This window comes from Homo sapiens, chromosome 5, assembly GCF_000001405.40.
Source record: "Homo sapiens chromosome 5, GRCh38.p14 Primary Assembly".
Taxonomy (NCBI): Eukaryota; Metazoa; Chordata; class Mammalia; order Primates; family Hominidae; genus Homo; species Homo sapiens.
The window spans coordinates 81,722,004-81,748,161 of NC_000005.10; the positions used below are offsets into that span (position 1 = coordinate 81,722,004).

The 26,158-nt window shown below is 34.7% G+C and overlaps 1 protein-coding gene across 88 annotated transcripts in view; it reads right to left on the bottom strand.

The window, feature by feature from the left end:
- The window catches only part of SSBP2 (single stranded DNA binding protein 2), a 339,004-nt gene that overhangs the window by 309,200 nt on the left and 3,646 nt on the right, over positions 1-26,158 (bottom strand). For 2 of the 88 annotated variants that reach the window (XM_047417065.1, XM_047417059.1), the window contains exon 1: positions 2,989-15,290. The exons of the other annotated variants lie outside the window; for them this stretch is intronic. The gene's annotated coding sequence lies outside the window, so the exon portion shown is untranslated. Of the gene's footprint in view, positions 1-2,988; positions 15,291-26,158 lie in introns of those variants that run through there. 88 annotated transcript variants of the gene reach the window in all.

Sequence of the window (26,158 nt, forward strand, 5' to 3'; positions counted from 1 at the left end):
AAAATCTTTCCTTCCCTTAGTTCTTAGCACTGCTGACACACTCTAGCATTCCTTCAACTAACATCTACTGCCCAAATGCTATATGCCAGGTCCTATATTATTCATTTGAATTTTCTAAAAGATTTTACAAAATGCTAACGAAAAATAAAAGGGAAATAAACAACAGCAAAAAGAATACAAAATATCCTGGCTTACATCTGAATTAAGCATTAGGATCTTACTAGATCCCTGCCCAGCAGGTATTGATGGCATGATGAAAGCCTTGTCAAAAATACTGCTAAGATAACTATACTACAACTCTCCAAAAGTGAAATATAACTATACAGGCACATTGTGAAAGTTCCTTGCTTTCCAGCTCAAGGTCAGTCGCCTTACTCTCTTCAGTATAATTTTGTTTTTTTTTTTTTTCAAAATGAGGGCAAAGAGAACAGTTCAAATCTTGCCACTTAATTCTCATTTCTGGGCTAGGAGACCTACCTTTCTCACATTTAACAACTATAGCATTCTTTTACAAGAATGGCATGCCCTGCTAAAGAATTCTGGAAACATTCAGATAATACCTAGCCAATGAAGATCCTAAGATTATTGCAACAGAGAAACAACTTTAGTCCCTAGTTACATGACCTTGAGCATGCATTTGTTTTCTCTAAGCCTTTGTTTCCTCATCATATGATGTTAGTAAGATTAACCTCACATGGTTGTTTTAAGTATAAAGTACACCAGTGTAAATGAAGGGCCTGGCATAATGTGTGCTACCTGCAGAAACACATAGTATGTCTCTTCCCTTTAAGTATGCATAAAAATCCAACATCAGAGAATGGACAAAACTGTGACACACCATCTTCTGGTGTACATGCATAATCACAATATCAAAATTCTACTTACTTCCAGCTCAAATAAATCCTTCCCTGATTTATATCTAGCACAATTGCTTTCTTTCCCTTTTGATGAAACCTCAGACACTTTACCAGTATCTATTAACATGATACTGTAATTATTTATACATATATTCTCCATGTGAAAAATTAACTTAAAGCCAGAAACTCTTATTCTTCTTTCCTTTCTTTATGCTAATTAAAGAAGTTTTTGAAAGTAAATTAAGACAAATCTCTTTTAATGCTTATCCATTTAGGAATAAAAGGACTACGTTGAATAACAGAAGTTTCTATACAAGTTAACAAATGAGTAGTTAGCACTTTCTTTGAGATTACATAACTTCTTCCCAAATTGTTATACATTGTTAGTAAGAGTTATATATTTAGTAATTTGTCCCTTGAGAAGGTTCTTGGTTCTCTGGAAGAGGAAAAATTCATAATGACCAGTTAATGATGTCAATGTAGTTGATTACTGTTGTTAGTAGAGTATACAAATTAATTTCCCCCAACTCCATTTTTCTCTTGCTTCTAGTCCCCATAAAAACATAAAGAATAGTTTTATTCTATCTGCAGCTTGTAAGTATTCACAATGGTACATAAAAGAAACACACAGAGTAAAAGTTTGACCCTGAAAGTTGGGAGAATGAGTAGCTCTGGATACCTCTAAATTGATGCGCATTAACCCAAGTGCAGGCATATCTTTAACTGTTTTTTATTGAAACTATTAACACCCATTTCTCTGCCTCTTTAAACAAAACATCAAGAATATATTTAAAGGTCTTCCTGATTTCTGAGTCATCATTACTTACACAAGTATCAATTATTGAGCTACATCTCAATACCTCCTATAGATACTATTGCCCCAGACAGTAAGTACTCCATATAGACTGTTGGACCAGACACGGTATATATCATTACCAAGACATAGCAACAGGGACAATATTATAGACTAGTGTTTGTCCTCTGTTCCTACCTATTCATTTCCCCAGAGTTGAGGAAGGAGTTATGTATTTATCCAACAACCTCACTTCTCTATCTTCTGTCTTTTCTATGCTTCTTTGCTGAGGTGCCACTTGCGCTACCACTACAATTTCTATCACTTCTAACCAAAACACTTAACTCTGCTGCTCTCTTCTGTCTTCTCTGCTGCTTTCAATCAACTGCCCATCCATAAGAATGCAAAAACTAATTACTAAAAAACACAGCATAATACTATGAAAGCACACATTTATTTTTTAAATCAACATATATTTATAATAAATTCCAAATAAACTTTAGAGTAAGTGTGTTGAGGTATGCAAAAAATCTTACTGAAATTTTTACTGTGGTTGCACTGAATACACAAATTAATTTGGGGAGAACTGGCATCTTTAAAACATTATGTCATCCCATGGTAATTCTCTTCTATTAGTTATGTCTTTTTTCATATCCTTTAATAGAGTTTCATAATTACTCCATAATGATCTTTTGCATTCTTTTTAAAGGTTAGCTACTTGATTGTTCCTATTACGAATGTTGCTAAGTCAATTTTTTAAAAGGGGGAGGACTTGCCCTATCAGACTTTAGAACACAGTGCAAAGCCACTGTATAAAAAACATTGATACTAAACACAAATAGACAACTGATCAATGAAATATGAGAAATAATTCGTACATAGTAAGTGTGTACTACCAATCAGCAGGAAAAGTGCAAACTGCTTGTATTCTACAGGAAGAAAAATAAAATCACCCCCCACACCTCACAGCCTATACAAAGGTAAACTCCTAAGAAATTACAGACCCAAATATAAAATATAAAATTATAAAGCAAATAGAAAATGGAGAGGGATATGTAATATCGGGTTAGAAGAGCATTTCTTCAGACCACAAAAACACAAACCACAATGTGTTGATTTACATGTTGTGACGTGATGATTTAACCACTTGAAAATTAAGGATTCCTTATCAAACGCAGCTACGATGGACAGAAATAACAAATTATAACAACATCTAAAACCAACACAGGTTAATGTCTAGAATATTCAAGACGCTCCTATTGAGTAGGCAAAATGGACAAAGGATATAAATAGCCAATTCATGTTTATTTATTCAACAAATATTTATAGAGAACTTACCTTTTTAAGTGCTAGGGATACAGGTGTGAACACAGGTAAGGTCTCTGCCTTCAAGGAACTTGAGCAGAGAAAATAAATAAATACATAACATAATATAAGGTTTTGTTGTGATAAAGACAATGAAAGATAAAGCAGAACTCTCTGGGGACATGACATTTAAGAAGAGATCTGAATGGAGTGAGTGAGCCACGTGAATAAGGGGAAAGAGTTTTTTAGGCATAATAAAACAGCAAGAATGGGAGGTCTTAAGGAGAACAGAAAACAAATACGTGAAGAGATAACTAACCTCACTAATAATCAGAGAAATAAAAATTTAAATAATATACCACTTTACAAATGAAAGATTGGCAAAAATATAATGTAAGTTAATACAGAGTGCCAGTGGAAATGGAGGAAAAGAGAACTACTATGTACTCCTAGTGAGAATGTACACTAGTACAGACATTCTGGAAATCAAGTTGGCAAAACTTAGTGAAATGAAGTATATGTATATATACCCTATTATCCAGAGATCCCACTCTGAAAAATCAAAGTTCTCCCAAAAGCCCATAAGAGGACATGTATGAAAATGAAAATCAAAGTTGTCTGTGGTAGCAGAATATTACAGACAAACTAGGTGACCATCACCAGAGGGCCAGAGATGTGGTAAGTGCATTCACTGACATACCTAGAGCAGTTACAAGTTATGAAACAGATATACAGAGATCCAAATGGGTAGCGGTTTTTTGATGTTTTTGGCACTGAAATACAGTTTTAAAAAGTCTCAGATTTGCTTCAAAATAATACAGTTTGCAGAGGTGGAGTTGTGGGGAGGAGGCACTAGGGGAGGAATGGTTAATAATATGAAGCAAGATCAGCTCTGAGCTGATAATTGTTGATGCTGGATGATGGACACATGGTGGGTTGATACTTTCTCTACATTTGGATCTGTTTGAAGTTTTCTATCATAAAAGGCATTTTAACATGTTGAATGAAAAAAGAAACAGAAGATCTTTAGCACAATATAATTTATATAAATTAAAAATATGTGTGCATAAAACAGCACCATATATTTTTTAAAGAGACAGACATATTCAAAAAAACATTAGTACGAACATCTATGTAGGCAGAGAATTAGAATGAATACTGGGGATAAATGAGAACTATTTTAAATAAAACAAGAGAGGAGTCTTGCCAAAAGCTGATAGTCTGTCATTAATCTGAGGAGTTTGATGAATTCAACTTTTTGCACCTGAGGTCAGAAAAGAAACACTGAACAAATACAGAGCCCTCCGGGACCACATAGGAGATGTAACTAAATCTGATTTGGGAGGAGGGGGTATTCCTGCCCCATACCTTAGACACACTGAATCATAATCTCTGGGATCAGGCCAAAGGTTCTACTGTTCAATTTCCATTTCAGAGGAGAAACAACAGTACAGTAAGTGAAATAATATTCCAAGCTCACAAACCGGCAAGTGAAAGGGGTGGAATTCAAGCCCAGGGCCAGAACTGCCACTGTTATTCACTGTGCTACCAATGCTGCACTATTATACTTAAAACCTGCATACTATTACCAACTGAAGTTCCTAAACTGTTATTGTATCCCACAATGACACTGCTCTTAGCAACCACAGAGAAAATTAAATTCTATATAGTTTATATACCCCCAATCATCCTCATCTACTTTTTCAACAAATATCCCACTTTTCTCCAAGATAAATCCTCTCTTCCAGTCACACTAGTCCTCCCTACTGCTTCCAGGATACCCACAACACTTCTAAGCAGTTTCTCCAAACTAAAATACCCTCAATTCCCTTCTATATTTATTTATATCCCATTCATCCTACACGGTCCAGTATGCAGAACACTTTCACAGCATTAATTGAATGAACTAAAGTCCCACAGCTGCTCCATGAGGTTTCCCTGATGACTTCAGCACATACCTTTTCCTCCTTTAATTTCTTTTGCACTTACTCTGTACGCCATTCAATTAGCACCTTATTACAGTAACACCCCATTTATCCAGCGTCATTGGGAAAGGAAAGTGTTCATCAGAAGCAAATTTTCCAGAGAACCTAAGCATTAATTTAGGAAGCGGCAAAATAGAGTGAAAATAGTGCCGACTTTAGTTACAAACAGACCTAAGTTCAAATCCCAGTTCTGCCACTTACTAGCTAAGTGTCTTTGGGCAAATATCAACAAACCTTTCTAAGTCTGTTGCATTGCCTATAAAGTAGAATATACTACTAACTTCACAACATTGTTGGGGGTATTAATCACATATGAAGAATATGGGCCAGGTGCAGTGGCTCACGCCTGTAATTCCAGCACTTTGGGAGGCCGAGGCAGGCAGATCACCTGAGGTCAGGAGTTCGAGACCAGCCTGACCAACATGGAGAAACCCTGTCTCTACTAAAAATACAAAGTTAGCCGGGAGTGGTGGCACATGCCTGTAATCCCAGCTACTCAGGAGGCTGAGGCAGGAGAATCACTTGAACCCAGGAGGCAGAGGTTGCAGTGAGCTGAGATCGCACCATTGCACTCCAACCTGAGCAACAAGAGCAAAACTCCACCTCAAAAAAAAAAATCTCATGCAACATTCTTTAAATCATGACTACAACTATTAGGCACTAATGCATTAAAATCATTTTATGGAAATATTCATCAAATGCGTATAATTTGAGATTTTTCTCAGAGGACAGTAAATATAAATTGAGCATCTCTTGATAACTCATAATTCATTCAACATTTGCTCATTCAATAAATATTTAACCAGGGCCAACTATAGGCAAAGTGACTAAGGATTCAAAAGAAAACATGGTAAACATGGTCCCTGCACTCATGGAGTTTAGAGTCTACTAGTAATTAACTAATTTCACTTTGTGTTACAGGATACAAGTGAAACAAGGTACAGGGTGGAGAATAAGGGAGGACCTACTTTAGAAAGGATGGTCAGGGAAGGCCACTGGAACCTGATAGATCAAAAGAAGCCAGCCATAGAAAGGGCTGGGGAAAGGGAACACTGTCCTGAGGTGTCACAGGGCTAGCATATTCAAGGACTGAAAGAAGGCTATGGGGGATCAGGAATAAAAGGGAAAATAGCAAGAGATGTGTCTGCAGAATTAGGCAAGGACCAGATAATTCAGCGTCCTGTGAACCACCGTTAGTCTAAGTTTTATTCTAAAGGTAATGGGGAGTGACATGACAAGATAGATAATGTAAATGCAACAAGCATTTCAGGAACAGATGACTTTTTCTTATCCCTTTTTGGAGTTACCATTGACAAATCTGACTTAGCACTTCCATTTCAAAACAAAAACGGCGACAATACAGTGCAATGATTTTCAAAGTTTTACTTAAAAGGGCAGCATCTTTTTTTAAATAAATAAAACATTTCATCTAAGATGGCCTCTCTTGTCCTCATTTCATATTATGTCACCTCCTTCAGTTCCTTCTATAACAGAGTTTGAAAACATTGGTATAGAGAACATTGGTCGAGGAGTCAGAAAATTTCAGTTATAGTCCTGACTATGACTTAACAGCCATATAACCTTGTGCAAGCCACTTAATGCCTTGACTCAACTTCTCCTTTACTAAAATGGATATAATGCCTGACATGCTTACCACACACAATAATAGTGTGGATCAGATGCAATAATTTGGGCGAGGAAAGCTGTCAACATCGAGAATGTAAACTAGAAACTATATATCTTACAGATTTTGTAATAAATTCTGGTTGCTTGATTGATGTCTGAATCATTTTAAAATATTAAAGCTCCAAGCATGAATTAACTTGCGCAAATGTCCAAGCCAATTAACAAATTAGTGGGTATGGCATTAAATGAAACCAACGCATCTACTGAATCCCTACTAAAACTGAGGCCCTATGCAATGCTATAACCAGTAACAAAGAAAAACTAAATTTGATGTTTAATAGAGAATGAAGTTTAATTTTTAAATTACTTATTGAGTCTTAAAAGTCAGTATTCTGTATTTTAAAATTAAGAGAATACCTTTCAAATGTCTCACCATAAAAAATGATAGGTAAGAGAGGTGATATGTTAATTAGCCTGATTTAATCATTCCACACTGCATACATATATCAAAACACCGTATTGTACCACATAAATGTATATAATTATTTTTCAATCAAAAATATTAAAAATAAAAATTATAATGTTAATGGGTTAAAAAATAAATATGCTGTCCTCAATTTCTCAATACTTTCAAAGTGTTAAACTTACTCATTTTTATGAATCACTGAATTAGGTTATATTTGCGCATAAAAAGTTCATCTGAACTAGCCTACCTTCAAATAGGTTGGCTTCTCTCTTTAAAAAAATATAAAGAAATAACGTGAAGATAGGAATTTTCAAGCAATTATAAAACAATGTGAAACAGTAAATCCCCTTTGCAGCAATTAGAAATAGGAACTGGATATACACACAGCAAAATGGGTAGGTCTAAATGATTTCCTATGGGGCTGGGGGTTGTAGAAATGAGGAACAGGTATAGAGAATAAATGAATGAGTAAATGAATGAATGTCAATTAAACAGCAGAAAGGCCTGACATGAACCAATGATAATACCATGCCATGAACTGAGGAGTATTAACTCAATACTCTATACTTAAAGGCTTACTCTCATAGTATTTAACACTATGAGTATTAGGTTGTGATTCATAAAATGAACATGTTTCATACTTTAAAAGCACTGAGAAATCTAGGACAGCATATTTTTGCTTTTTTAACCTTTAATTATATTTATTTTTAATATTCTTGATTGAAAAGTAATTGTATACATTTATGAGATACAATGTGGTATTTTCATATAACTTGTAAGTTATATATAAGCTAGACTTAGACATCTACACTTACAGAGGGTTGACTGAGAAATAAGTGGTTATATAGATAGGTCAAAATAAATAGTTATATAAATAGGCAAATACACTAGATAGACTAAATCACATAATTTAAAATACCTATTCTAAAGGATTGACCCTTAATTATTAATCTATTTTTAATGTAAAAGATATAGGGTAACAATTTTAGAAAATACAGATATACAAAGTAAATCTTGACAGGTATTGGAGAAAGGAAAAGATCAGATTTTACCAGTGGTTATTTCTTTTTTAATTAAATGAGATGAGGGATTTCTATCCTGTTTCATGAAAATAAATCACAAGTACTTTTTACTCTATTTTTAAAATGAACGCTTCATCATTACCAAAATTACAGAGTAAGTGTACTTTTAAAAGAATTTTTTTTTTGAGATGGAATTTCGCTCTGTCGCCCAGGCTGGAGTGCAGTGGCACGATCTCGGCTCACTGCAACCTCCACCTCCTGGGTTCAAGCAATCCTCCTGCCTCAGCCTCCCAAGTAGCTGGGATTACAGGCGCCCGCTACCACGCCTGGCTAATTTTTATAACTTTAATAAAGGCAGAGTTTCACCATGTTGGCCAGGCTGGTCTCGAGCTCCTGACCTCAGGTGATCCACCTGCCTCGGCCTCCCAAAGTGCTGCTATTGCAGGCCTGAGCCACCACACCTGGTCTTGAAATGTTTACATAGTCAAAAACATCTAAAAATCTAAAAATCTACAGTTTTACTTGAGCTTCAGCGAAAAAGGCAGGAGATTCTCAAATACATTTGTTCTTGGTATAATATAAGTCATAATATAAATTATAGGTCATAATTCTGATTTATATCTTATCTTTTAATTTTCCATTGACTAGATTTTAAAAAGAAATACAATCTGGTAGAAAGGAAAGAAAAGACTTTTTACAGCTCAGTCCAAACTAAAGTAGAAACTCAGGTTCCTTTTAAGTGATGAAATTGAAGCAGTTTCATATTGGATGAGAGATGAGCCAAATGATGAACATTTTACCTCCAGAATATTCTTCACTAAAAACGTACTTAATAAGCAAATGAAAAGAAAATAATTTCTAATATATTTTTATTGTGCACACAGAAAATTTACAATCTTAACCATTTTTAAGTGCACAGTTCAGCAGTGTTAAGTATATTCACATTGTTGTGAAACAGATCTCCAGAACTTTTCCATCCTGCAAAACTGAAACTCTATACGATTAAACTTCAATGAAAACAAGTGGGTTCCAATGTAGATTCTATAAATACTGAAATGCGTGCCCTTAAGTTTCTAACTGCTTTTGCCTCAGATTCTTTGTCCACAAAATAGAGTACAATATCTATCTCATTGGGACAGAAAGATGAGAATGATGTCATTAGCAGAACATCATTATGTTCCTTGGGTCATTCAAATATGTTAACAGTTTACTAAGAAATTATACATCGGCCCTTTATCTTTTTTAGAAGACCAAAGATAAAAAAATAGTAATAATAATGACTAATATTTTCATGGGGCAGAATTATTGCCCTCAAAAAGCAATCACAAAACAATCCATGCAACTGCCAAGCCAAATGAATCCTGGGCAATATCCTATGGAAAAATATCTTTACTTATGCCAAGTAAGAGAAAAGATTTCCTGGCGGCCTTAATAAGCTTCAGGCAAAAATGTTTACCTACTTCAAGTGTTCCAGTAGCCATTTCAGTAAAGGACCCTAAACAATACAAAGTCGATTACCTTACCCAAATAAAGTTCAATTAATAGGATTTTCTTCAATTTCCAGGTTTCAACACATCTATAGAAGAGATTATCATCCATGTTAAAAGATATTCTTTCCTTTCCCTTAAGAACAATAAACCATTAACTTGTAGATAACTTGGGAAGACTCATACCCAAAATTTTGCTTCTCTCCTCTATTGCTTATGTAAGATATGATGGTGATAAGATAAACCCCAAACAGAATTGTCTTTTATTATAATATTGTTATAATAAATTATATTACAATAATATAATTGATATAATAATATTAACTTAAACAGAGAAATGAAAAGTTTTATATTCATTTCAATTATGTCAGGAGAACAAAAACTTCTGCTGCTTCATCACTGCAGTGCATTGAGGCACTGGATTTCAAGGCCTTAAAATGGGCTTCAAAAGATGGTCTGTGATTTGCTGTCTTATATCAAATCGAGGTTACCTCTAATATCATCCACCTATGTTAATTAGAAGGTCTTAATAGTAATCCTAGAAATGCTACATTAAAAGTAGGAAAACATAATCAAAACCATAATTACATTTATTTCAGAAACTAAAATATGCAAAAATTAAGAGCATATGATGTTAAACCATCTGTTTCTTCATTTTTAAAAAATCCTTTCTCAGTTTCTAAATATGAAAACTATAATTCTCTTTTTTCAAAATGAAGTGGTATTCCATGATCTATAATATGAATAAATCAATATAAACATGTACTAAAAATTAGTAGTCTTTATGTAACAGAGTAACAATAATTTACAGTCTGGATTCCAACACATCCAATAGTAACACTAATGCACTCCGTAAATTTACTGTCAGCATCTTTTCATAATGTTTTAAATAAAATGATTTTGCTTTTACATATAAGCTATCACAACTCTACCAAGATTAAATGGAATCACTCAAACTTAATTTTTTTACCTAAATTCTAAATCATAATCTACCAGAAGAAATGACAATTTGCTTGTTTTTCCTATTTTGTTGCTCTTTATAAGAACTTCCTTTTTTCACAGGCACAATAAATTACATATGCAAATAAATAAAAGCAAAACAAGCAATCTGAATGTTGCTTTTATATGTGGTATAATGCTTTGCAGCCTGGTTACTTTGGGTGGGTCATACAGAAGAAATTGTGACTACAGGTTAAAATGAGTTTTGTGCAAGTGCACCTATAACAAAAGCAAAGTATCTTATACCCTTTCTAGTAAACATACTTTTTTAAAAAAAGATACCACCACCACCCCCCGCCTTCTAGCCCCTCACCCGCTGCTCAGCTATTTTGGAAGTCTTGTGCACTGCTGGGTAAGTGATCTCTTGTCATTTCAGACAATTAGAAAACAGTACATTTTAAAAAGATGATTTCTGTCTTTTAAAAAGTTGAATAAATGTTTCTCATTACTGGAAGGAAAGAGGTCTTAGAAAGTAATTCAAAGTTGTAAGACCCTCCAATTTGGGTAACTTCAAAAGATTTAAAGTTCTAAAATATTTCAATAAACTTGTTTGTTAAATATTATAGCCTTCCTAGGGAAAATAAATAGGCCTGGAATCCTCCAATAATAGATAAAAATCTTATTAAGCTCATTTTAGTGTCAATCGGCAAGATGACTGAAGGAAAAAAATATGAAGGCTCCAACAATCTCAGGATTCCACTAAATGGAAAATATACCTTGGAAATCAGTTATATTGACTAATAGAAGAGAACTAATCATACAGTAATAAACAAATATAGAGGGAAAAGAGAGATACTTATCTCTCTAACTTTCAAACAACAGAAAAATGAATGTCTTAGTCATGGTAAATTATGGTTGTAGGGATTCCCATCAATACATCAACAGCTAGAAAAAAAAAAGGTCAGAAACCCCCATTATAGCCACACAGACGGAAACTCATTGGTCTTAACACTGAAATAGTCTCACTAGTAAACTATATATTTCAAAAAACGTGAATTTATTATAATCTATCCAGATTGGATTACTTAAAATCAAACAGCCCCAGGAATTGTTGTCTTTAATCCTCCAACTTTGTTGACAAATCGTATCTGTTACAAAATCTAAAAAATTATTAATCCTATATTTTATTGATTCCCTTTTCCTTTCTATATAACTCACCTTGATCTGACCAAATGCCATAGTTAGACAGTACTGTAGTTCTTTCTCAGTACAGTGGCTGTAGCAATATAACTTAGGAAATTGAAAGCTTCCCATAAGCCTCAGCTACAGTCCCTAGTTTTGTCTGAATAGGGCTCTGAATACTAAATAGAACTTATTTCAAATAGTTAAATGTCCATGCATTTAAAGATACAAAACTATTCTCTTCTCTGTCAAAGGTAAGGAAGTCCAAAAATTTTCAAAGTATCATCAGCCTTGCAATTATATGAAAAAAATCAAAGGTAACTACAGAAACAATCAGAAATATGCAAGTTGTACCACAAATAACTACTTATTTAAAGTAAATGGACAAAAGGATGACATTTTCTGATCAGAATCAAGAGTCAAGACCCTTTGTTTTATTTGGGTTAAAGCTACTTAAGTGAATTGGTAGATATGGAAAAGTGACATTAACCTATACTTGTTTCTTTGCCTTTTATAATTCCTTAAATACACAGATAAAAACTCCATTGCTTAATTTGTTGTATTACTTACATACTAACAAAAAAACCTTCCATACTAAGAAAAAAATGTGATAAGTAAAATGAATAACATTAACAAAGTATCTCTAAGCAATCTTTAATATCTTAAAGGGCTGGCAAAACTATTTTTCACTTTGGTTTTAGTTTGCAGTTTGACACAATTTCTCAGGTATATTCTAAATGACACCAGGCCACTACAACACATACACAATTCTTAAACATTTCAAAGCTCCTAGACTTGTCAGAAGACAAGCAAAACAGACAAGAAGTATATATCCATAACATAAACAAATCCCAGTACACACCATATAGATAATCAACCAGCAAAGGAAAATGGAAGCCAGTGCAATCATTGTCTCTCCTACCAATAACTAGCTAACTTACAATTGATATCAAAATCATTACCTTTATTGAAGATTTTTCAAATAATGTCACTTTATTCCAGTTCCCGAAAGAAAAATCAAGTTGGCCGGGCGCGGTGGCTCACGCCTGTAATGCCATCACTTTGGGAGGCCGAGGCGGGCAGATCATGAGGTCAGGAGATCAAGACCATCCTGGCTAACACGGTGAAACTCTGTCTCTACTAAAAACACAAAAAACTAGCCGGGCGTGGAGGTGGGCACCTGTAGTCCCAGCTACTCAGGAGGCTGAGGCAGGATAATGGTGTGAACCCGGGAGGAGGAGCTTGCAGTGAGCCGAGATCGTGCCACTGCACTCCAGCCTGGGAGACAGAGCAAGACTCCATCTCAAAAAAAAAAAAAAAAAAAAAAGAGAAAAGAAAAATCAAGTTGACCTGCATATGCTCCTCACTGCCGATTTTAAATGAATATTAAGCATGCTAAATTAATGATCAAAGCACTTAAGAATTTTGCTTAGAACAGCAATGGCTGCAAACTTTAGTTAATTCCTCTCATGCTGGATGTTGCAAATTATATTAAATATATAGAGATAAACCTAATTTATTGTATCTTTGATAACTACAACAAAAAATAAATAGCCCTAAATACTATCAGTTGCATTTCAAAGCTCTGATAAGACAATCATGAGATTTACGTAGAAATACACTATTAGTAATATATAACATAGGACTTTTTTATTACTTAAATTTTAAATTTAAATACAGTCATCCTTCCACATCCATGGGGGATTTGTTCCAGGGTCACCCCCCACCCACTGCAGATACCAAAATCAATGGATGCTCAAGTCCCTTACATAAAATGGTGTAGCATTTGCATATAACCTATGTACATCCTTCCCTATACTTTAAATCATCTCTAGATTACTTACAACACCTAATATAAATGCTATGTAAACAGTTCTTATACTGTATTGTTTAGAGATTAATGACAAGAAGAAAAATCTACACTGATCAGTGAATATGCAACCATCCATTTTTGATTTTCGAATATTTTTAATCCACTATTGGTTGAATCCTCGGATGTAGAACCCACAGAGAGGACTGACTGTATATTTTTAAATAATAAGATAATTTTAATAAAGAATTCATGCTTTACAAATGATAACTCACAACATTTTATAAACTTCCCTATTGACAGAGCAAAATATAAATTTTACCATAAAATATTAGATAAAATAGAACATCGATAACCATACTTTATCATTTCTATATGTGCATTTGCTCTCCTCTGAGATTAAGCTTATCCTCTTAAAAATGACAAAACGTATTTATCAATCCTTCTGTGTTTTATTACACCTGGGTAAAATGAAACGAGTATTTCAGATTGTTTCCTGTTCTCAAGTTGGTAGAAAACAAACTCGGATCAAGTCGCTGCCCAATCTTAAGAGTGGGCCCCACTGGCCTCAGGATGAATTCATAATTCTTAGGCTGGCTTTCAAGAATTAGTCATTGCTTATTTCTGTAGCCTCTACCACTTTTCCAAAAACATCCTACTACCCTGAAACACACACACACACACACACACACACACACACACACACACACACACTCTACGGCACTACTGAATTTTTTGCTTCTAGAAACTATCACAGCCTCACTGGACTTCTTCCAAGCACAAAATTGGCGCTATGCCAAAAGCCCTGTTTGCTTTTCTGGCAGGGTTTACCTTGCCCACTGCCTTATACAGTGCCTGGCACAGAGCAGGATGCTGAAAAAAGTAGTTAATGAATAAATGAATAATAAGTGAATTTAAACTTTTTTTTAATCTTGTTTTTGAGGGAGGTATTTATTGGAACTTGGAAATTGATATATGCTCACAAATGTTATCTTTTGCTGCCTTTTCTCCTCGAATTTAAAAGGGTGCTTTTTGGTCAAGTGGCTTTGATGTTTTTCTCATTAAATATCAAAATTTGTATATGCATGTATGGATATTAAAAAGTCTAAAAGATTATATGGTTATTTTTATTTTCTTCATTTTTGCTTATCTGTATCTCTAAATTTTTCTTCTTGGAATATTTATTACTCAAATAATAAAAAGTATTTTAAAGAGTACTAGTAAGCTAATCAAATTAACTCAATTTGTGCTCTGTAAATAGGGCCTTTACTCAGGTATTCTCATTTGTCCCTTCTACCAATTTAAAAAGTAGAAAGGAAATTTAGAAATACAATTCTAAAGAAAAGTCAGCTAACCAAGGGAGAGTTAAAAAATAATTTCCCATCAAACTTTTGCTTTACAGGCTAATAGCCTGATTGGTAGCCAGAGTGGGCAGTTATTAATTTAGTTTTCTCCATGGTACCACAGTTATTTTCTAGTTATCACTTCAAAATGATCCCTTTAATTCTAATCTCCTACAATTCAGAAAGTTTTTAAAAATCAGTTGACAAAAGGTAGCAAGTGTAATCCATCCCAAAATCACTTTTTAAAAATTCATACACTCAGTCACTTTCAACACCCACCTAACTAAAGCTAAAAACCACTTTACCTACTGGCTTTCCTTTCCATGTCCCCTGTAGCATACCATTATTGTCATCCTTTAATGATAATAATAATAAAAGTGGTTTAAAACACTTTGGAGTTCACAAAACCTCTTTACAACACAATAAAACCCAAAATTATTCCAACTATTGCCCCTCCTTGCAAAATTCTCCAAGTTAAAAAAAAAAAAAAAAAAAAGTATGTCCCCTTCCAGTTAAGTCTTCTCTCTATGCTTCCTTTCTCCAGTGAAGGCTGTCCACATTTGACATCTCCACCACCTCATCTTCTATCAATTTCCCAAAACACTGCATCTAACTTGAGTTCACTCCACTGAAACTGTCCTCCCTAAGTCACAGATGGTTTCTTAAAAACTGAGCCCTGTTTGGCCAGGCGCGGTGGCTCACACCTGTAATCCCAGCACTTTGGGAGGCCAAGGCAGGCGGATCACGAGGTCAGGAGACTGAGACCATACTGGCTAACACGGTGAAACCCCGTCTCTACTAAAAATACAAAAAAAAAAAATTAGCCGGGTGTGGTGGCGGGCGCCTGTAGTCCCAGCTACTCGAGAGGCTGAGGCAGGAGAATGGCATGAACCCGGGAGACAGACCTTGCAGTGAGCCGAGATTGCTCCACTGCACTCCAGCCTGGGCAACAGAGTGAGACTCCATCTCAAAAAAAAAAAAAAAACAAAAAACTCAGCCCTGTTTAACCTTCTTGTTCATTCTACAAATCTGGCATGGTAACTCACCCTTCCATTCTCAAAACTCCCTTTCCTTGATTTCTGCTAATGTCAGTCCTTTATGCGTTTCCCTCATATGTCTCCGTTCTTTTCAATCTCAATTTCAAACTCTCATTCCACCTATACCTTAAATATTCCCCGAACTTCCATCTCTGATTTCCTCACACTTTCTCCCTGCACATTCCCAAGAAGAATGGCTTTATCCCTATTTCGTGCCTTCAAATGATACAAGATGCAAAACCAAATGGGCCATACATTAGTAGCAAAAACAAGCAAAACTGATCTATGCTGTTAAAAATCAAGCAAGATGGGTAGCACATATGAAGCTTCCAGAGTGCTGGTAATGTTCTTTTTCTTGATGTGGGTACTTGGTTACACTGGTGTGTTCAGTTTGCGAAAACTCATCAAATTTACACATTTAGGATATGTGCACTTTTCTGTATGAATGTCAGATTTCAATAACGCTATTTTTTTAAAGAGAGAAATAATAAACTAAACCTTGAGTTCAGATTTCAGCTCTAACATGTGTACTTCAGCTAAATTACTTATCCTATTAAAGCCTTAGTTTCCTCACACTTATCCTTTCTCATTTCTGTATCTCCAGCCTAGACTTCTTCCAGGAACTCAAAAGCTACATATCCAAGTTCCTCCCAAACTTCTCCATCGCTAGGTCTTAATGGCATCTCAAACTAAACTCATCATCTTCCTCCTTACACCTTTAAAATTACCTGTTCCTCCTCCTGTATCCCAAAGTCTGTGACTAAAACTTCTACCAACAATTGCAGCCATCTTTAAAAATCCTAATTTTCACACTTAGGCCACCAAGTCTGATCTATTCTACATCCTGAAATGACCACTGCATTGGTGTAGAAAAATGATGACGCTATAAGCATTTGTATTGTTATAGCAATCGCTTCCTAATGGATCTACCTCCCCCTTTACTCCATGCTCCATATGATTTCCAAAACGATTCTTCTAAAATGCACCTCAGATGGTGTAACTTTTCTGCTTAAAATTGCTTATCTCAGGGCGGGCACAGTGGCCCACGTCTGTAATCCCAGCACTTTGGGTGGCTGAGGTGGGTGGATCACTCGAGGTCAGGAGTTCGAGACCAGCCTGGCCAACATAGTGAAATCCCATCTCTACTAAAAATACAAAAATTAGCCGGGCATGGTGGTGCACGCCTGTAGTCCCAGCTACTTGGGAGGCTGAAGCAGGACAATCGCTTGAACCTGGGAGGTGGAGGTTTCGGTGAGCCGAGATCATACCATTGCACTCCAGCCTGGTGACAGAGTGAGACTCCATCTCCAAAAAAAAAAAAAAAAAAAAAAAAAAAAAAATTGTTTATCTCCTAGGTCAAGTTGTCATTTAAGGCTGTTCTTGAAATAGTTCGTATTTAATCTGCCAGATTTATCCCTACCAACTTTACTGCAGTTCACCAACTATATCATACCTTTTAATGCCTCCATGTTGCTGTACATGATTCTCTCTCTGGCTAAAATACTCTTTACTTGCCCCATCTTCCACTTTGACTAATGCTAGCCTTTCAATAAACATCCTCTTAGAAATATTTCCTGACACTCTCACAGCCCTAGGCTAGATTCAATGCTTTTTTTCAGGAATCCCACAGAACCTTCTGCATACCCATTATAGTGCTTGCTACCCAGTGTGGTAGTGGCTGATAGTGAGGCCCCTCTGAATGGGGAGTTCCTGATGGGCAGAGATTGCCAGGTTATTAAGATCTGACTCAGGAAGGCTCAACAGAGGCTGACATATAACAGACGGTTAACATTTTTTTAATGAATAACGGAGTGGGGAGATAGAATAAATATGATTCCCATCTCATAAAATATATATATACATTTACACTATAAAATAGTTAACAAGTTTTAAAAACATTTTAAATGCTATTTTGGCAAAATCCAGCTTTTTAAGAAGCCCTACTTTCTTACGCTATTCTATATACAATTATTATTCTGTACAATTCTATATGATTCCATACAATTAACCCTTTAAGAGAGCCATTCTGCTATTCTGCTGGGGACCTAATACAAACACAAAAGCATTTTGTCAACTAGCAGCATTTTTGCCAGTACTTGCTATGTTATCTTGTCAATGATCACTCTTGTCGATTATACTCCTATCTTACAGAAAAGCATCAACAACCTTTAATATTTCAGTAAAAACTTGCTTATACTCTAATCTTTCTGGCCCTGAATTCGTAAGTCCAACTCACTTATATAATTGACTCAGTAAAATTTGAATTCAAAATTACTAAGTCATTCCCAAGATGAACTCCTACCTGAAAACTACTCTCAAGATATACACACATACACATGTGTGTATATGTATGTGTAATATATCTGATAGCAAGAAAGCTCACTCAAGTTTTTCCATTACAATATTTCTAAGTGAAGGAATACAGTATCAGTCACTAAGTTTAATCCAGGGTAAAAAAAAAAAAAAGAATGTACCAAAACACCTTAATAGCTTCCCAGGATAGCTAGCGCTTAAATATACTGATAATGTATAATCATCAAATAATTTCAATCCAATTATAAATGACAAATAGCACATAATGATGTGAAAAAAATAAAACAAAGAAATTATTTCTATTTTTTCTAATAGCCAGTATTACAGAAATGACTAGGTAATAGAACCAATATGATTGTACTACTGCTCCTGTATCACACGGAGCTTCTCAGGTGCCCTTGTCCAAAAAAAGCCCAATAGGCCATACGCTGCTTGGAAGAGACAACAAAAGAGACTCATAATTACAGGATCCTTTTTTCCTAAATATCACATATTCCTGACTCCAAAGTTTAAAGTAACTTATGCCGGATTACTCTGCCTCTGGTTACAGAATGAGAAACAGCTCTATCTGAAATTATAACCTGAGTTCTTAATTGGCATCTTCCTCTCTGGTGAGCACCTACATCCATGTTGTTAAATCTCAGATACCAGCTAAAGAATTTGTAGCTATCTGTGGGGCACTTTTGGTACCTATAATACTATCCACCTTTTTAGCAGCTATAAAATGCTTCTACTCTTCCCTTAACTTCTTAACCTCTATTGCCTCCCACCCCAACTAAAAATGATGAATATGCACATTCCCCTCCCATCCTCATGCCACCTCCCACAACTTCCATTACAATTTTTCCGCCATGTTAAGCGATGAAACACACTGAGTCAAAATAGTTAAAATGGGCAGTGCAGTCAGAAACCTGAGTTTGAATCCAGACTATACAATTTACTCTGTGGCCCTGGACAAAATATAAAACCTCTGAGACTCAGTTTCCCCATATGTAAAATGGGGATTATATCTACTTTACGAAGTTGCTATAGGGATTAAGCTATCAAAAGTAGCCAGCCACAGAAAGACAAATACTATATGATCCCACTTATATGAGATACCTCGAATAGTCAAATTCTTGGAGACAGAAAATAGAATGGTAGTTGTCAAGGGCACATAGAAGGCGGGAGTGGGGAGTGATTGTTTAATGAGTACAGAGTTTCAGTCTGGAAACATGAAAAAGTTCTAGAGATGGAGAACGGTGATGGCTATACCATAATGTGAACGTACTTAATGCCACTGAACTGTACAACTAAAAGTGGTTAAAATGGTAAATTTTAGGTTATATATATATTACCACATTAAAAAAGAAAAAGAATATTCTCTCAATAATTCATACTGAAAGACTTTTCCTCCCTTGTTAGAGAGAGGTATAAAAGCGAAAAAACCTTACCTTTCCCTCCCCCTAACCCAGCACTCCAAATTGAAGCTAAATGGCAAAGGAATAGAGAAGAGTTCACTGATAAAAATTAGCCTGTCTTCACAAATTAAAAGCCCAAAACTATCCTAAGTCCCGTACCTATCCACTTATGTTACAAAAGCATAAGGATTTCAAACAAAAATCAGCTTTCACTCATGATGTGGCACTTTTAGAGTTAAGTAATTTTACAGATTGTGTTTAACACACTGTAACAATATTTTTTGTTTAATGAAAGTACTGACATAAACTTTTAACTATCATCTAATCTATGATTCTCTGTTGAATCAAATCCACACTTAAACCTTAAATATATATGAATCTCTCATTATAAAAGAGGCAGCTGTAGCATAATGAAAGGAACACTGACCTTGGAACGAAAAAACTCTAAATATGGCTCAGGTCTGCCACATATTATCTGTATTACCCTAGCTGCATAAGTCAATTTCCACTTATAAATATTGCTAGTCAATGGAGATACCACCCAGCTCATACGATTATAATGTGACTTAAGTAAAACAAAATACTATACATTAAAATATTTTGAAAACTATAAAGTACAATTTCATTTATATTAAATTTAACACAAAGAAAATGAAAAAATTCTGTCAAAAATTCACATTAAAAATATACACACATCATAATATAATCTTCCATAGTCCTGAAATTCAAAGAAAGAATACTAAATGCCCATATTATAGAAAAGTATTTTTTAGAAATTACATTAATTCTTATACCAAATACTAGGAGTATTGGGGAGAAAATCAGCTAGATACGGTGATAGACTATTGTGACATATTTCCAATTCATTACATCCTTAACTCATTTATTCCACAAATACATAATCACAAACCTTGCAACCACTGTGCTAAGCAGTGGGAATATGACGGTAAGGAAGACACCATGGTCCTTGCTCTTATGGAGCTTCCAATCTAACTGGAAGATGAGGCATTAAACATCACACAAATGGCCGGGCTCAGTGGCTCATGCCTGTAATCCTAGCACTTTGGGAGGCTGAGGCAGGTGGATCATCTGAGGTCAGGAGTTCGCGCCCAGCCTGGCCAACATGGTGAAACTCCCTCTCTGCTAAAAATACAAAAATTAGCCAAGTGTGGTGGTGCATGCCTGTAATCCCAGCTACTAGGGAGGCTGAGGCAGGAGAATCGCTTGAACCTGGGGGGTGTGTGGAAGTTGCAGAGAGCCGAGATTGCGCCACTTCACTCCAGCCTGGGCAAAAGAGCAAAACTCCATCTCAAAAAAATAATAATACAAATAATTTGTTATTTATAATAAATATGAAAAAGAAAAAAGTCTGCTATGAGAGTATCCAATCCAATCTAGAAGGTTTAGGAGAAATAATTACGCCAATTGTACCAACCTCTGTTAACCCAGTATACTGTAAGTGTTCAACAAATCTTAGTTATTTCTATAATCATCATTATAAAAGCCCCACTGTCCTTCAGAACAAGTTTATCCTTAGGGTTTGAAAGATAAAAGATATCAATCCTATTATCTAGGAAGATCAGATAAACTGAACCCAACACCCAATTCCTCCATTTTAAAAACAAAACCAGGCAAGTATGGCTTCTTCATCCCAATTTTCACTCATATTTAACATATCCTTGAGCAATTATGTTGATGCTAAGGTTTCCTCAATAGTAGCTTAGACATGCCTGAAATACTGTAACCTGGTCTTTCTATGGCTGATTCTTTCAGTTCTCCGTTGAAATGTCCTCTCCTCCAAGAACCTTCCCGACTACCCAATCTAGCATAGCCTCCCAGTCATTCTCTACACTACATCACACTATTTTATTATTTTTATAGTATATATGACTATTTGAAGTTGCCTAGTACATTTATTTGCTTATTATTATATATTTCTCCTTCAACCTTCAAAGTCTCATGAAAGCAGGGACTCATTTTATTCTCCCTATATCCTCAAGATACATCTTCCTTGCTAAAGATCCCAAGTTTTGTTTAGGTAGTTCACGTGAGCCAATTATGGTAATCCCATTATATCTAGCATAATTTGTTTACAGGAAGAAATTCTGTAGTTCTCTCTAATAAGGGATAAGAAGATGTCTCCTAAGCAACTTCAATAAAAAGTTTTCCTCCCTGATTGGTGAGACACAAAGAAAGAAAAACCCTGTCCTTCCTCCTGCCTTTACACTTGAGTGTGTAAGGGAGTGATGCTGGGAACCCGAGGCAGCCATGCTACATTCATGAGAGGAAGACCATGAGGATGGCAAAGAAGCCGATCCTGAACCCTGATGTTCTTGACTCAATGAATGAACTCTTACACTACCACTTCTAGACATCCTGTTATGTGAGATTTACTTTTAAACCTGATCAATTAAGCTGTTTTCTGTCTCCTGTTTTGATACCTGAAGCCAAAAGCCTAATAAACTCAAGCCTGTTTCTTCCATAACATTAAGAGAAAACAGTACCTACAGCCTACTGGATTTGAGGGGATTAAATGAGATAATGCAGACAAGTGCCAAACAAACAAGATACTCAAATGATAGCACTGCTGTTAATGTTAAGCAATAATTTTCTATGACAAAACACAAACTCTTTATATACTATTTAGGATTTTGTTATTTTACAAAAAATATTCACTTTAATCCTATTTAAAATGAGATCATTTTTAAAAGAATAATTTATTTACTTAGATTTCTTCCATTAATAAAGTAGCTCTTGGTTTTTTCTCATCTAAAATAGACAAATAAAAGGAGAATCAGACAAATATCAGATCACTAAAATAAATCATATTAATTTCAGGTAAGAGCCTTTTTCTGTCATCAATTCCTCACCCAACTTACATGGACAGAGCTACATATATTTTCATCTATTATTCTTGCCTTTACAAATATTTCATCAGTATTTTAATATGCTATAGATTTAAAGCTAATTAAAAATTAAAGCTATATTCGTAATTACAACCATACTCTTTAACACCTACAATTACAAAAATATTTAAAACTAGAAAAAAAAAAACAAAGGGCTATATTTTAGCCTCTACAATTTTTTTTCTGTGCTGAACTACTTGTTTGACATTATAGCCATGAAGCAAAATTAACAGAGAAGATCAAAAATAGGAGATTGCCAGGTCATTCGTTTACACTCACTCTAGCTGAACTGTGATTTAAAATGTTACAATGGCTCATTATTGTCTGAAAGCTGTTTAGGGTCATACATGAAATGTAATTAACATTCTTAAAGGAAAAAGATGAGAGTAGTTTTGTCATTTCTAAAGAAATGACACCAACTGAAGTTTGTCTTTAAAAAAAAGAACAAAAAAATAAATATTAATTATGCCACTGCATTGAGACTGCCCAGGCTGATTTGAGTCCAGATGAATTTTTGGTCCTATAATTATAAGAAAAACATTAACAGTTCCATTTTTCAAAAATTCTTAACTATTAACTTACATGACAAAAATTACCATTTACCAATTATGACCAATCAGAAATGTTAAAGTTATCTGGAAAAACTCTATTCTTCCCCAGGCAGTCCATATTTCCACTTGTTTTTTAATGTCCTCACACAAAGAATAAAATAGGTTGCAGAAGAAGAGCCTCTGCTATTTCTCTAACTACTGAAAACAGGCAAGACATTAATCTTGGTGGACCACCCTTCAGCTCACCTTTTGTAGTATGTATAGGGTTTTAATCTAATAGTCAAGTAACTCTCACAGTCCAAGTTATGCTAGGTTATATACATACGTTAACAAAACCTTGCATGAATACATGCTACATTTGTAAAATACACAAAGTTTGATCAAATGTTTAAAATCGGGAATATTATTTATATTCCAAACGCTTCAGATATTAACAAATGAATCTTATTCTATTGCTCCAATGCTATTTTAAGTCCACCCTTTCAGAAACAGTAAGTTCTTAATAAAATTAATATTTTAGCATACGCTTACAGAGGCTCACATGTCACTAGCATGCAAATATATAATCTGTAATTCCCACACCAATGGCAAAGCAATAACATACACACAATAATAGAGAATAACCTCATGTGTTCCAAAATAATTTTGAAATCCTATTTTTAAATTATATATTCCTAGTAGTTCCATGTCTTTCAAACTCAGTACTTTTGTCCTATGTCCCAGGATTAATGCAATGGTTGTGATTTCTATGGAAGAAAGAAGATTCTAAATTTGAATTGTTTTTTCCCCCAAATTTTACTTCTAACTCTCAACTACTGAGGTGAAGTATTAATAAACATTAATAAACTGCAACCTGGGTATTCCAGCCCCTGCCCCACAGAGTATGCTCTAATCTTAAAACAAAATAATTCTAGAAGTGATTAAAGATGAAAGGCATATTTGGTCTATTACTGCAGAACAACTAAAATGTAGTGATTTTGTCTGCATCCTAAATTGGTTTTATGTGGCAAACTGGCTTTGAAAGCGTGAAACTGAAAACTTTCAACTTTTTTCTCTCACAGCTCTGAAAAAAAATTACAATATTACTACTACTTCTAAGAGTCACAATTAATCTCTGGATAAACAATACCAAAACTTAACTCTGAACATCTTACACAGATTCTTTCTTTAGATATGTTCCTTAAAAATAGGGGTTTTTTTGATACTTCTGAAATAACAGAAAAAGATCAATCAAAAGCTAACATGACATTTCGGATACAAGTTAAACAACTTGTATTTTGGGGGAACATCCTGGAGACTGAAAGGGGGAGGGGCAATTTAATATTTTACACAAAATTTCACTTCCATAAGATACTCCTTCATTAGTTTTGGAAATCCTGAATTGTGCGAATTGCTGTCAAGTAAGTTTCTGAAGAGATCTCTATTACTTTTCTTGCCTTATTCCTTCAGAAAGAAAGAAAGGTTTGTCATTTTTCTTTGCAGGGGGTACCTTAATGATGGGGGAATGCTTTAATTACTTTAATGGTAGAAGGGGAGAACAAGGTGATGCTGGCAGATATTAATCCCTTTTATATGAAGTGGCATTTAAATGTTCATTATACTGTAACTACTTTGAAATAAGCATATGGTATTTGCTTCTTGGTATATTCAACTAACATTGAAAATTTAAAAGCCAAAGTTACTTTTCAGAGCTCAAGATTAGACAGTTTGATTCTTGTAGTTTCTGGCTAGTTTACTAAATAAAAGTCGGTATATATTATGTGTATCTTTTATGTTCAACTTTGCTTTCTAGCAGATTCATCTTTCTGTGCTTTACATAAAAGATCAAATTAGTTTAATAAAAAATTAATATCACTACTCATCTATTTGCAGGTGCCAGTTACTCTTTCTGCGGTAGTGTGGCATACTGTGTGGCTTTAAGTTCAGCAACATTTCATATAGGAATTGTTCACAACTATTATGTTTAACTTTAAAACAAGCAATCAAACAAAATTCCTGGGGGGGGGGGGAATCTGAAGAAACAAGTTTTCGTCATTATGTTAGGCTTCCAACTTTCCTAAAATTTCTGTGCCTTCTCCCACACCATACACAGATCTGCAAAGCATCAGGGTGCACCAGTGGTTAAGACTGCATATTTGATCAAATCTTTAAAGTCTGTCACATCTGATTATGTAATGCTGTTCCCTAAATCTGTAGCATCCTACCCTAGTTCAGGAAGACAATCTGGTACACTGAAAAATGTATCTTTCAGCTTCAATCACAGGTTCTAAAGTTAGAGAAATCTGTGTTAGAAACCCAGCTTTCCTGTTTTCTAGCATTGTATCCCTCGGTGAGTTCTTTAACCATTCAGGGTCTTAGTTTTCATATTTCTTTAATGGAGGAAAAAAAAAGCAACTGTCTTGTAGATTTGTTGGGAGAATTAAGAAAAAAATATACATAAAACACTGAACATAGTGACTGGCACACAGGATGGCAAATAAATAATAGTTATTTTTGTTGTATTGTTGTTTAGGGGTATTTCTGAAATACAACTAAGCTAGAGAATGTGAAACTCAAACTTACAAGTCCTTATTTTGGAGGTCACTGAAAAAAAATTTTTTTACATTGAAAAAATTCCTTTGAGTCTAACATCTTCAATAACAATAATTTATTGATGCTTTTGGTATTAGAAGGCACCTTAATGTTCAAGATACCTCAGAGAAGAAATTAGATTATCTCCTACCCTCAACAAACTTATATTTTAGGGAAAGTTAAACATTAAACAGCCAATCACGGTTATTTAATCACAATTGCGATTAGTGTTATAAAGAAAGCCTGCTAAAGGAAGAAATGACCTAACAAGATCAGAATTAAAATTTCTAAATCCCACCTCCCTCCAAGGGTTTTCAATCACTCCCTCTATAATTAAGACTTGATCTGCTTTTCTTAAAATGACAGAGTAAGTAACTAATCTTACCCTGATCATTTTTATCAGAACTGTATACTGAAATTACAGGAATTGTGTAAAACCAATAATTCACTTCAAATATTTCATATAGTGACTTCCTAATGAAAGACAAAACAAAGATCTAATACAGGTAAGCACTTGTCAACTATTCACCATGAACTCATGTTAGAAAACACATTTCTTGATTAT